This window comes from Homo sapiens, chromosome 10 (genome assembly GCF_000001405.40).
Source record: "Homo sapiens chromosome 10, GRCh38.p14 Primary Assembly".
In the NCBI taxonomy this organism is placed as follows: Eukaryota; Metazoa; Chordata; class Mammalia; order Primates; family Hominidae; genus Homo; species Homo sapiens.
Genome location: NC_000010.11, coordinates 94485309 through 94499581, shown reverse-complemented (window position 1 = coordinate 94499581; position 14273 = coordinate 94485309). Strand labels below are relative to the sequence as shown.

Sequence of the window (14273 nt, the reverse complement as noted above, 5' to 3'; positions counted from 1 at the left end):
GTAGGCATTGCAGAAGATATCCCCAACCCTCCAGTCGAGAGGGAAGATAAGGCATATTTTAAAATGTTATGTAAAAAGGCAATAAGAAAGAAATTCTGTCATTTGCAACAACACAGATGAACCTGTAGGATATTGTGCCACGTGAAATAAACCAGGCACAGAAAAATCAACACATAACCTCACTTATATGTGGAATCCAAAAAAGTCAATCTCATAAAAGTAGGGGGTAGAATGGTGGTTATGGCCGGGGAGCGGGGAGTAAAGTGAATGGAGAAAGGTGAGATGTTGATCAAAGGGTACAAACTTCCGTTAGAAGAAATAAGTGTTAGTGACCTATTACATAGAATGGTGACTATAATAAATAATAATGAACTGTATGTTTCAAAATTGCTAAATGAGCAGATTTTAAATGTTTTACCACAAAATACTGAGAAATACGTGAGCTGATGGATGTGTTAATTAGCTTGATTTAATCATTCCATAATGTAAACATATACCAAAACAACACATTGCACCAGGCAGGTGGCTCACACCTGTAATCCTAGCACTTTGAGAGGCCAAGGCAGGCAGATTGCTTGAACCCAAAAGTTCGAGACCAGCCTGGGCAACACAGTGAGACCCCATATCTATAAAAAAATACAAAACTTAGCTGGACGTGTTAGCACATACCTGTAGTCCCAGCTACTCAGGAGGCTGAGGCAGGAGGATCACCTGAGCCCAGGGAGGTCGGGGTTGCGGTGAGCCTTGATCTCGCCACTACACCCCAGCCTGGGCAACAGAGTGAGACCTCGTCTTGAAAAAAAAAAACCCTCAAAAAACACATCACGGTAGGGTGCAGTGGCTCACACCTATAATTCCAGCACTTTGGGAAGTCAAGGCAGGCTGATCACTTGAGGCCAGGAGTTTGAGACTAGCCTGGCCAATATGGTGAAGCCCTGTTTCTACTAAATATACAAAACAATTAGCCGGGTATGGTGGCAGATGCCTGTAGTCCCTGCTACTAGGGAGACTAAGGCATAAGAATCGTCTGAATCCAGGAGGTAGAGGTTGCAGTGAGCTGAGATCGCGCCACTGCACTCCAGCCTGGGTGACAGAGGGAGACTCTGTCTCAAAACAAAACAAAAACAAAAACAAAAAAACAAATCACCCTGTACCATATAAATATATACAATTATTATTTATCATTAAAAAGATGCTGGCAAAATAACTTAAAAATGAATAAATAAATGCAAAGGCAAGATAAGTATATTAGTCTCAAAGTATGATGATGGGACATTTACATAAGGGAAAGATCATACATATTTCCTTGATTATGAGATAAACACTTTAAAAATCATTTTAACAATAAGTGCATCTTCTAATACATTTATATATTTAATATTCTCTTTCCAAATAACTGCTATTACATCAATAGTGCGTCTTACAATTGATGGTATGTTAGCATTAAGAAAATACAGTAACTAGGCCGGGCACGGTGGCTCACGCCTGTAATCTCAGCACTTGGGGAGGCCGAGGCAGGCAGATCACAAGGTCAGGAGATCGAGACCATCCTGTGAATGGTGAAACCCCGTCTCTACTAAAAATACAAAAAATTAGCAGGGCATGGTGGCGAGTGCCTGTAGTCCCAGCTACTCGGGAGGCTGAGGTGGGAGAATGGCATGAACCCGGGAGGCGGAGCTTGCAGTGAGCCGAGATTGTGCCACTGCACTCTAGCCTGGGCAACAGAGCGAGACTCCGTCTCAGAAAAAAAAAAAAAAAAAGAAAACACAGTAACCAAAGACATTAAAAGTTTCATAAATCAATTAGCATTTCAGTTGGGTCCCAAAGGATAGGTAAGATTTAGCAGACACCACGGTGAAACCCCATCTCCACTAAAAATACAAAAAAAAAAAAAATTAGCCAGGCGCGGTGGCAGGCGCCTGTAGTCCCAGCTACTCGGGAGGCTGAGGCCAGAGAATGGTGTGAACCCGGGAGGCGGAGCTTGCAGTGAGCGGAGACCACGCCACTGCACTCCAGCCTGGGTGACAGAGCGAGACTCCGTCTCAAAAAAAAAAAAAAAAAAAAAAGATTTAGCAGACACAGAGGATGGTCAGTAAGGGAAGTAGGTGGTAGACACTGAGGGATTTACAAAAGCAAAGGCACAGATGCAAATATGGAAATTTTCAGGCATTAATTAATAGTATAATTTAGCCAAAGCATAAAATATATGCTGGAAATAATAAAAATACAGAATCAGAAACATGAGATCTCAGCGCACCAGCATGGCACATGTATACATATGTAACTAACCTGCACATTGTGCACATGTACCCTAAAACTTAAAGTATAATAATAATAAATTAAAAAAAAAAAAAGAAACATGAGATCTTCGGAGACAAATGGGAATTTAGGAAAAGTCTGCTTACTTACATTACTTCCCAATTGGGCAGTATTTCATTGATCCAAATTACCATTGCACTTGCAATATTTTCTTCCTGCTTAAATCGTTCTTTCATGATTCTTTTTCTTTTATGTGCTTCCTTAATTTCTGTTTTAAACGAGTAAAAATTATTTCAATACAAATAAGCTAGATCAAAATCCTTTTCTCCATTTACCTAAACTCTACAAAATAGACTTTCTCAAAAAGAATATTATCATAAGAGGAAGGAAGGAAATAAGGGAGGGAGGGACAGGGAAAGAAAGGGAGGGAAAAAGTGAAAGTAAATGAACTTGATTAACATAATTTTCTATTCTTTGTTTTCTCTTTTTTTAGAGATGGGTCTCGCCACGTTGCTCAGGTGGCCTTGAACTCCTGGACTTAAATAAATCCTCATATCTCAACTTCCTGAACAGCTTGGACTACACATGTGTGCCACCATGCCCAGTTATTAACATAATTTTAAAATAACATCTCCTGTTCTACTATAAAAGTAAGTGGAATAAAAGGTCAGAAAAATAATTTAAGTAGATTACTTTATCACATATTTCTATTTACACTAAATCTATGAAGTCAAATTTCTTATGAATTAACTATATAAAAAACAAACAACTGTGGGCAACTAACCAATACCCATTTTTCCTACAAGGGTTTATAAATTTTCTGACATAACTCACATGACATTCCAAAATGATTTTGTCAGTAGCATTATTAGTATATTAACTCTTTTTAATATGGTGTTTCACTTTACTAGTTTGAAATTTTAAAATGTCCCCCAAAACACATATATTAACAGTACATCTCTTAGATTCTGAGGCAAAAGTTAGAGGAAGAAAATATCTCTCTGAAAATCAAAGGTGACAATTTCAGAAGAAGAGATGTCTCAAATACAGACGAAAGTGAGTCATAAATCAAAACTTTATGTAATTTTAGAACCAGTGAGGATGTCAGAGACCAGCTAGCCAAACTGTTTTCAAATTGTTTTTTCAGATATGCCTCAGACCATCTTGAGGGGCAAGCAGAAGGCCAAGTAAACAATCTCTACTTTCTTTCTTCTTTTTTTGAAACAGAGTCTCGCTCTGTTGCCCAGGCTGCAGTGCAGTGGTGCGATCTCTGCTCACTGCAACCTCTACCTCCCGGGATCAAGCAATTCTCCTGCCTCAGCCTCTCCAGTAGCTGGCATTACAGGGTCACACCACCATGCCCAGCTAATTTTTTGTATTTTTAGTAGAGACAGAGATTCACCATGCTGGCCAGGCTGGTCTCAAACACCTGACCTCACGATCTGCCTGCCTTAGCCTCCCAAAGTGCTGGGGTTATAGGCGTGAGCTACCGCATCTGGCCGACAATCTCTACTTTCTTTTATTTGTTTTATGTATTCATATTCTATATAAGATTTCTTGGGAGAATGTTCCACTGCTTTACCAACAACAAAAAAAAAATGATGAAAGAGAAGCTTCAAAGCCCTGATTAAGCTGACCTGCCTCTCACATGTTACGCATGAGAAAACTAACATCAGGCCTGTTCAGAGTATCACACCAAGGTAGTATCAAACAAGGTTAAAGCTGTGGCCTTCTGATTCCTCAGTTCAATATTATCCCTATCATACCATGCTTTTAAGATCATCCAGTACCAATAGTTATCTTACATAGTAATCATATAGTAAAAATTTTAAAATTAATAAAAACTTAACTGGAGCCAGGCACAGTGGTTCATGCCTATAATCTCAACGCTCTTGGGAGGCCCAGGTGGGAGAATTGCTTGAGGCCAGGAGTTTGAGACCAGCCTGGGCAACATAGAGATACATCATCTCTACAAAATAACTTCTAAAAAATGAGCTGGGGCTGGGCATGGTGGCTCACGCCTGTAATTCCAGCACTTTGGGTGGCCAAGGCAGGTGGATCACTTGAGGTCAAGAGTTCGAGACCAGCCTGGCCAACATGGCAAAACCCCGTCTCCATTAAAAATACAAAAATTAGCTGGGCCTGGTGGCGGGCACCTATAATCCCCGCCACTCTGGAGGCTGAGGTAGGAGAATCACTTGAACCCAGGCAGCGGAGGTCACAGTGAGCCGAGATTGCGCCACTGCACTCCAGCCTGGGTGACAGAGTGAGATTTTGTCTCAAAAAAAAAAAAAAGAGCTGGGTGTGGTGGCATGCACCTGCAATCCCAGCTACCAGGGAAGCTGAGGCAGGAGGATTGCTTGAGCCCAGGAATTCGAGGCTGCAGTGAGCTATAATTGTACCACTGCACTCTGGCCTAGGTAACAAGTGCGACCCCGTCTCTAAAATAAATAAATACATAATAAAAAATAAAAACTTAGGCTGGATGTGGTGGCTCACACCTGAAATCCCAGCACTTTGGGAGGCCGAGGTGGGTGGATCACTTGAGGTCAGGAGTTTAAGACTAGCCTGGCCTATATGGCGAAACCTGTCTCCACAAAAAAATACAAAAATTAACTGGGCGTGGTGGTGCACGCCTATGGTCCCAGCTACTTGGGAGGCTGAGGTGAGAGGATCTCCTGAGCCTGGGAGATTGAGGCTGCAGTGAGCCAAGTTCGCATCACTGCACTCTAGCCTGGGTGACAGAGCAAGACCCTGTCTCAAAAAAATAAAAATAAGTAATAAATAGATAAATACTTAATTGGATATGTCAGAAATATTTCGAATTCTGTATAGTAAAATACACTCAACTAATGTTTAAATACCTTCTAGAACAATATAACTAGCCTTATATATCCTATGTTTACTTAACATTAAAGAAGTAACTTCAATTCCAAAATAGCACCATAAAGCAGAACTGTATACTATTATAACAGTCCATTAACTTAAGTCAAAGGAAAAAATATCAGTTGTTAATAAGGTGTTAGATGTTAAGTCTAAAAATGTATACAGCTGTGTAATATCTTCTAAAAATGTATGTTTATCCTGAAATAACAACTGTCAGGAAATAAACACCATTAAATTATCCTGATATTATTTTTTTGGTTGGAAAAGAGAATGAATGAATACGTAAATTTATACACACAAGAGTATACTTTTATGCACCTAACCAAATGACACAATTGGGCCTCTAGAGAGACTCTGTAAGTCACAAAAAAATTTTGAGTTTCAAATCATATTCTCACAGCCATATAGAAAGTTAAAATTATTAAATTATAAAATAATTAGAAATTAATTATAAAATATAAAAATGGTAAAAAGTGAAATTCATTAATAGATTCATGAATTATTATCTTTATTTATAAACTAAGATAGTAGAAGTCCAAGTTTTATGACTGTAATTTCAAGATTCCTCCTATTCTGTAAAAGTACATGCAGAAAAACTATGATCCTGGTATGTCATTTTATTCCTCCTTTAGAACAAACTTAATTATAAAAATAGTAGAGAAAAATAAAAGCATGGGCAACATGGTAAAACCTCATCTCTACAAACAATACAAAAAACTAGCCAAGCATGGTGGCACGTGCCTGTGGTCCCAGCTACTTGGGAGGCTGAGAGGTAAAAGGACTGCTTGAGCCTGGAAGGTCAGGCTACAGTGAGCTGTGACTGCATCACTGCATACCAGGCTGGGCAACAGAGCAAGACTCAAAAAAGAAACGAAAAAAGAAATAAAAAAAAGAATTCAGTATCATCTTGAAGACAGACTTGATGAATTTTACCATCCATCTTCTTATTAAAATCAGAAAATTATACCATTTGGAGTTAAATTTTATACCTCGTTTTTTAGCCTCAGCCACCATCTCATCGTATTCTTGTCGGTGACGTAAAGCTTCTTCCACAGATTTGGCAGGAAGATTTCTGGAAAAAAAAATTACTTAAGTCAAGACAATTTTTAAAAGATTAACTTTCAACTTACTAACTTATTTGTTTTTACACCCAGATGCAAAGAATTTCTAAACTAACCTCATTTCATACATTAAGGAAGTGAAAGGCTGAAAAGAACTGTGCATTTTAGAACAGAATCAGAATCCAGGTTGTTAATATGTGGTGTGTGTGTGTGTGTGTGTGTGTAGTTCTATGTCATGTGTATATAAGTTGGTATATATTTAAACATTTCAGATTAAAAAAATAGAGATGGGGTCTCACTATGTTGCTCAGGCTAGTCTCAAACTCCTGGGTTGAAGCAATCCTCCTGACTCAGCCTCCCAAAGTGCTGGGATTACAGGTGTGAGCCACTGAGCCCAGTCCATTTCAGATTTCAGTCAATATTTTTAGGTTATTTGTTAAACTCACTTACTAGAGTTTTCTTTAGTCAACTTTTTTCAGATATAATTTTCATATAATAAAATGAATAAACATATTTTAAGAATAGTTTGATGAGTCTTGACAAATGTATATACCTGTGCAGCTAACTAACCAATCAAGATATAGAACATTCCCATCATTCCACTAAGTTTCCTTGTGGTACCCCTCACAAAATTCTTTCTTTGATTTCTATCACTACAGATTAATTTGTTTCCTCTTCAAGAATTTTATAGACTCTTGTGTCTGGCTTTTTTTGTTTTAATTTACATTGAAGGACTAATGTCTGGCTTCTTTTGCTCAGCACAGTTTTGAAAATCATTCATGTTGTTGTATTAGTAATGTATTCCTTTTAATTGCTGAGTAGTATTCCATTTATCCATGTGGGTGGACACTTGGATTGTTTCCAGATTGAGGCCATTATTAATAAAACTACTGTAAAAATTAACATCAAGTTTTTGTGTAGACATTTGCTTTCATTTCCCTTAGTTAAACAAAAGTCTTGGGTTATATAGTAAGTGTGGATATACCTTTACAATAAACTGTCAAACTGCTTTCCACTAATTAGAGTTTTAAGACAACATTTTAACTAAAAAACTGGATCATCCATCATTTGCATACATAGTAGTCCCCCCTTATCCTTAGGAGTTATGTTCCAAGACCTCCAGTGGATGCCTGAAACCTCAGACAGTAACAAACCCTATATATACCAGGTTTTTTCCTATACATACATAACTATGATAAAGTTTAATTTAATTGAGATTAAGTTAACCCAGCACAATATGTTGCCATCAATTGGAACACATTTTTGTTCATATCTTCCACCCATAAATTTAATGTCTTTTCAATCATAACTGAACACCGTGCTCTATGGTAGTAACTTTTGCAATTTAAGGTGCAACAGTAACACTAGCATAAATTTCTTTTTCATTCTTCACAATTTCATGGATAGGAAACTGATTCTTACCACAGATCTTAGCAACTTCAGCATATGATTTTTTTTTCTTATTAATTTGAGAACTTTCACCTTTTTGCTTAAAGGAGGAACTTTACAGCTTCTCTTTGGCATATCTGAATTGTCAGCACCACTACTCTTAAGCTTTGGGGGCATTACTAATAAAATAAGGGTTCTTTGAACACAGGCGCTGTGGTATCACCAACAGTCGATCTGACAACCAAGAAGGTTACTAACTGAACTACCAGATGGGTAGTGTATATAGTGCAGATAAACTGAACTCATGTCCCTAGCAGGATGGAGCAGGACAGTGAGATTTCATCATGCTACTCAGAATGGCACGCAATTTAAAAATTAAAAGTTATTTCTGGAATTTTCCACTTAATGTTTTCAAACCACAGCTGAGTACAGGTAACTGAAATTGCCTTAAGCAAAACCGCCAATAAGGGGTAACTACTACACCGTATTTTGGTTTATCAAATCAATGGCTTCACAGAGTCAGTGATTTAGATATAAAAAATGCAAAAAGAAATACACTGGTATATTATCACTTATCCAAATATAATCATAATAGTGTCCAGTTTTAGGAGTCAGTCTTTTCTTTTCAACAGGCTAGTGTGGAAAAAGGTATGTGACAAATTTTCAAATTATAAATTCTACCTCCTCTTCTCAAATTAGTCAGTTGATCTGGTAGGTTGTAGGAGGGAGGAATAAAAGTTAAGACCTCTGCTTCAGGCCATAATGGAATAAAAGAAACCAGGTTTACCCTTTCCCCTTAAATCATTAGAAAATGGACAAAATATATTAAACTATAGTTTCCAGACAACAGACACTGGGCAGCACAAGAAAGTGATCTTTAAGAGAAAAGAAATAAGCAAGGTAACCCTACAAGTACCTGACATTTCCAGGTCTCAGTGGTCCATCAATCCTAAGGTGAGGAGAAAGTTTAGAGTTGGAGAGTCCAAGACAGCTAAAAGTTACAAACCAGAAAACCAGAAAAGAAGGGAGCTGCAGAGAGTCCTCTCAAGGTTTTGGCTGAGTACTGATCTGTGCATGTGTGTGATTAACTACAGCCAGAGAAAGAACCACCAGAGAAAAAAAAAATAGGACATTCTTAAAGTTCACACAAGACCAGCCAGAGTGGAAAGGCCTCCTGATAGATAAGAGTACTAGGTAGAGTGCTTAGAAGAATAATGCCTCAGTAGTGAGGACAAATTACTCCTAAACTAAAAGCTATTCTGGAACCACTCCAACAAAGATTAGGTCAAAAAGATCAAACCATTTCCAAAAAACTGCAAACCAGACTAAAGCCAAAAAGTATCTAAAAGAACACACAAAAAAGTCCAGCATCCACCTATGTAAACCACAATGTCTGACATTCAATAAAAACAGAGATGTGAAGCAGAAAAATATAATGCATAATGAGAAGAAAAATTAATCAACAGTCACAATATAAAAATGTCACAGATAATAGGATTATAACACAAGGATGATAAAATAGCTGTTATAAATATACTATAGGCATACCTTACTATACTGTGATTTGCTTTATTACATTTTGCAAATATTGCATTTTTTACATATTGAAGGTTTGTAGCAACCCTAATGTCAAGCAAGTCTATGGGTGCCATTTTTCTAACAATGTGCTCATTGTGTGTCTCTGTATCACATTACAGTAATTCTTGCAATATTTCTTTTTTTTTTTCTTTTGAAACAGAGTTTCACTCTTGTCACCTAGGCTGGAGTGCAAAGGCGCAATCTTGGCTCATTGTAACCTCCACCTCCCAGTTGGTTTCAAGCAATTCTCCTGCGTCAGCCTCTTAAGTAACTGGGGTTACAGATGCCTGCCATCATGCCTGGCTACATTTTTTGGTAATTTTAGTAGAGATGGAGTTTCACCATGTTAGTCAGGCTGGTCTCAAACTCCTGACCTCAGGTGATCTGCCTGCCCCGGCCTCCCAAAGTTCTGGGATTACAGGGGTGAGCCACCGCACCCAGCCAATTCTTGCAATATTTCAAACTATTTCATTATCATTGTATCTGTTATGGTGATCTGTGATAGGTGATTTTTGTTGTTACTATTCTCATTGTTTTGGGACACCACACACAGTGCTAATATAAGATGGCAAATTTGTGTGCCAAGGCAAACATGTGTGTCTTACTGCTCCACAGACTGACCATTCCCATCTCTCTCTATCTCTTCAGGCATCCCTATTTCTTGGGATACAACATTGAAATTAGGCCAATTAATAACTCTACAATGACATCTAAGTGAAAAGAAGAGTCCCATATCTCTCAATTTAAAATCAAAAGCCAGAAATAAATGAGTAAGCTTAATGAGGAAGGCATGCCAAAAGCCAAGATAGGGGGGTGAAGAAAGATGGCAGAATAGAAGCCTGCACCAGTTGTCCACCCTGCAGGAACACCAAATTTTAACTATCTGCACACAAATAAGCACCTTCATGAGAACCACAAATCAGGTGAGCAATCACAGTACCTAGTTTTAACTTCATATCGCTGAAAGAGGCATTGCAGAGGGTAGGAAAGACAGTCTTAAATTGCCAACACCACCCCTCCCCCAACCCCTGGCAGTGGCTTCTTGGCTAGGAGACAGAACCCATGCACTCAGGGGAGGAACAACACAGTGACTGAGGAACTTTGCATTGAACTTAATGCTGCCCTAGCACATGGAAAGCAAAATCATGCTGAACTCAGCCAGCACCTGCCCATGGAGGGAGCATTTTGAACAGCACTAGCCAGAGGGGAAGCGCCCATCCCAGCAGCTGAAACTTGAGTTTCGGCAAGCCTCGCAATCACAGGTTAAAGTGCTCTGGGATCCTAAGTGAACTTGAAAGACAGTCTAGGACACAAGGACTGCAATTCTTAGGCAGGTCCTGATGCTATGCTGGGCTTAGAGCCGGTGGACTGGGGCAGTAGATGACACAGTGAGACACCAGACAGGACATTTGGGGGAGTGCTTACGCCACTCCCCTCTCAATCCCAGGTAGTGAAGCTTGCAGCAACTAAAGTAACTCCTTTCTTCTTCCACTTGAGGAGAGGAGAAAGAAGGGTAAAGAGGACTTTGTATTGCATCTTAGATACCAGCTCAGCCACAGTAGGATAGGGCACCAGGCAGTGGTGAGGCCCCCATCTCAGGTCCTAGCTCCTGGATGACATTTCTAGAGACACCCTAGAATAGAAGTGAACCTGCTGCCTTGAAAGAAAGAATCCAGCCCTGGCAGGATTCATCACATGCTGACTAAAGACCCCTTGGAGGCCGGACCGGTAGCTCACACCTGTAATCCCAGCACTTTGGAAGGTGGAAGCGGGCAAATCACTTGAGGTCAGGAGTTCAAGACCAGCCTGGCCAACATGGTAAAACCCCATCTCTACCAAAAATACAAAAAATTAGCCGGGTGTGGTGGCATGTGCCTGTAAGCCCAGCTACTCGGGAGGCTGAGGCAGGAGAATTGCTTGAACCCAGGAGGCGGAGGTTGCAGTGAGCCAAGATCGCACCACTGCACTCCAGCCTGGGCTACAGTGCAAGACTGCATCTCAAAAAAAAAAAAAAAAAAAAAAGACCCCTTGGGCCCTGAATAACAAACAGCAATACCCAGTGGTGCAATCTCAGCTCACTGCAGCCTCCGCCTCCCATGTTGAAGCGATTCTCCTGCCTCAGTCTCCCAAGTAGCTGAGATTACAGGCACGTGCCACCATACCCGGCTAATTTTTGTATTGTTTTAGTAGGGACAGGGTTTCACCATGTTGGCCAGGCTAGCCTGGAACTCCTGACCTCAAGTGATTCACCTGCCTCAGCCTTCCAAAGTGCTGGGATTACAGTCGTAAGCCACTGTGCCCAGCCTACTCTTAAGTAGAAAGATTAAAAGATGAACCAATAAAAAATAATACCTGAAACAGCTTTTCAAGACATAGGCAGTAAAATAAGACATAAAGACTAACAACAAGTCAGCCATTATGGTGGCTCCCATCTATAATCCCAGCACTTTGGGAGGCCATGGCAGAATTGCTCATGCCCAAGAGTTCAAGATCAGCCTGGGCAACACAGCAAGACTTCATCCTTACTAAAAAAACAAAAAAAAAACCAGCTGGGTATGGTGGCATGCACCTGTAGTCCCAGCTACTCGGGAGTCTGAGGTGGGTGGATCAACTGATCGCAGGAGATAGAGGCCACAGTCAGCGATGACTGTACCACTGCACTCCAGCTGGGGTGACAGAGCAAGACCTTGTCTCAAAAAAAAAAAAAAAAAAAAGAGAAACAACAGAAGTTAAAAAAAAGAAACAACAAAAAGTTTTTTTAAAAAAGTGAAACAACAAAAAAGCAGGAGGATGAGGTTGAAGTGTAAAGTTTTTATTAGTTTTCTTTTTGCTAGTTTGTTTGCTTATGCAATCAATGTTGTCATCAGTTTAAAATAATGGGTTATAAGGTAGTATTTGCAAGCCACATGGTAACCTCAAATAAAAAAAATATGACAACACAAAATAAAAAGCAAGAAATTAAATCATACCACCAAAAAAAAAATCACTTTCACTAAAAGAAAGACTGGAAGGAACGAAAGAAGAGAAGACCACATAACAAACAGAAAACAAATAACAAAATGGCAAGAGTAAGTTCTTACTTACCAATAACACTGAATGTAAATGGACTAAACTCTCCAATCAAAAAAGATACAGTAACTGAATAGATTTAAAAAAAAAAAAAAAAGACCCAATGATATGATGCCTCCAAGAAACACCCTTCACCTATAAAGACATATATAGACTGAAAAGAAAGGTAGAGAAAAAGATATTCCATGCCAATGGACACCAAAAAGGAGAAAGAGTCGCTATATTTATGTCAGACATAATAGACTTCAAGACAAAAACTGTAAAAAGAGACAAAGAAGGTCATTATATAATGATAAAGGGGTCAATTCAGCAAGAGGATATAACAATTGTAAATCTATATGCACCCAACACTGGAGCACCCATGTATATAAAGCAAATATTATTAGAGCTAAAGAGAAAGATGCACCTCAATACGATAATAGAGACTTCAACACACCACTCTCAGCACTCAGCATATCTTCCAGATAGAAAATCAACAAAGAAACATTGGACTTAATTTGCTCTATAGAACAAACAGACCTAATAGAATATTAACAAAATACTTCATCCAATGGCTGAATATGCATTCTTCTCCTCAGCACATGGATCATTTTCAAGGATAGACCACATGTTGCTTCCTTAGTTAAAAACAAACCAAGTCTTAAAACATTCAAAAAAATGAGATAATATCAAGCATCTTCTCCAATCACAATGGAATAAAACTAGAAATCAATAACAAGAGGAATTTTGTAAACTATACAAACACATGCAAATTAAACAATATCCTCCTGAATGACCAGTGGGTCAATGAAGGAATTAGGAAGGAAATTTAAAAATATTTTGAAACAAATGTTAATGGAAATAAAACATACCAAAACCTACGAGATACAGCAAAAGCAACACTAAAAGGGAAATTTATAGCTATAGGTGCCTACATCAAAAAAGAAGAAAAACTTCAAATAAGCAACCTAAAAATGCATCTTAAGGAACTAAAAAAGCTAGAGCAAACCAAATCCAAAATTAGTGAAAGAAAAGAAACCCAAAAATTAGCTGGGCATGGTGGCATGTGCCTTTAGTCCCAGCTACTCAGGAGGCTGAGGTGGGAAGATGGCCTAAGCCTAGGAGGTCAAGGCTGCAGTAAGTCATATTCATGCCAATGTACTCCAGCCTGGGTGACAAAGTGAGACCATGTTCAACAATAACAAAAAAAAAAAAAAAAAAGAAGAAGAAGAAGAAAAAAGAAAAAGAGCACAAATAAATGAAATTGAAAGAAAACAATACAAAAGATCAACAAAACAAAAAGTTGGTTTTTTTGAAAAGAAAAACAAAATTGAGAAACCTTTAGCCAGACTAAGAAAAAAAGAAGACTCAAATAAGTAAAATCAGAGATGAAAAAGGAGACATTATAACTGATACCACACAAATTCAAAGGATCGTTTGTGGTTGCTATGAGCAACTGTGTGCCGATAAATTGGAAAATCTAGAGAAAATGGATAAATTCCTAGACACATACAACCTACCAAGATTGAACCATGAAGAAATACAAAACCTGAACAGACCAATAGCAAGTCACAATGGAACAAAACATTTAATTACAGAGTTGTAATTAAAAGTCTACCAGTAAAGAAAAGCCCAAGACCTGATGACTTCACTGCTGAATTCTACCAAACATTTAAAGAAGAATTGAACTGACAACAATCCTACTCAAATTACTGCAAAAAATAGAGGAGGGAATTCTTATGAACTCATTGTATGAGGCCAGTATTACCTTGATACTCAAACAAGACAAAGACACACTAAAAAAAAAAAAAAAAAAGGAAAACTACAGGCCAATATCCCTGAGAAACATGGATGCAAAAATCCTCAACAAAATACTAGCAAACTGAATTCAACAATACATTGAAAAGATAATTCATCATGACCAAGTGAGCCTTATCCCTGGAATGTAAGTATATTTCAATGTATGCAAATCAATCAGTGTGATACATCACCTCAACAGAAAGACAAAAACCATATAATTTCAACTGACACTGAGAAAACATTTGATAAAAC

The 14273-nt window shown here is 38.5% G+C and overlaps 1 protein-coding gene across 9 annotated transcripts in view; it reads right to left on the bottom strand.

Moving 5' to 3' along the window:
* TBC1D12 (TBC1 domain family member 12) overlaps nt 1-14273 on the bottom strand; it is a 133792-nt gene that overhangs the window by 36751 nt on the left and 82768 nt on the right. For all 9 annotated transcript variants that reach the window (XR_945637.3, NM_015188.2, XM_006717732.5 and 6 more), the window contains 2 exons: nt 6135-6217; nt 2410-2527 (listed from right to left, as the gene is read on the bottom strand). Coding sequence is in view for 8 of the 9 variants with exons in the window: in NM_015188.2 (NP_056003.1) it covers nt 2410-2527; nt 6135-6217 (201 nt within the window). In the remaining variant the exon portion in view is untranslated. The remainder of the gene's footprint in view (nt 1-2409; nt 2528-6134; nt 6218-14273) is intronic.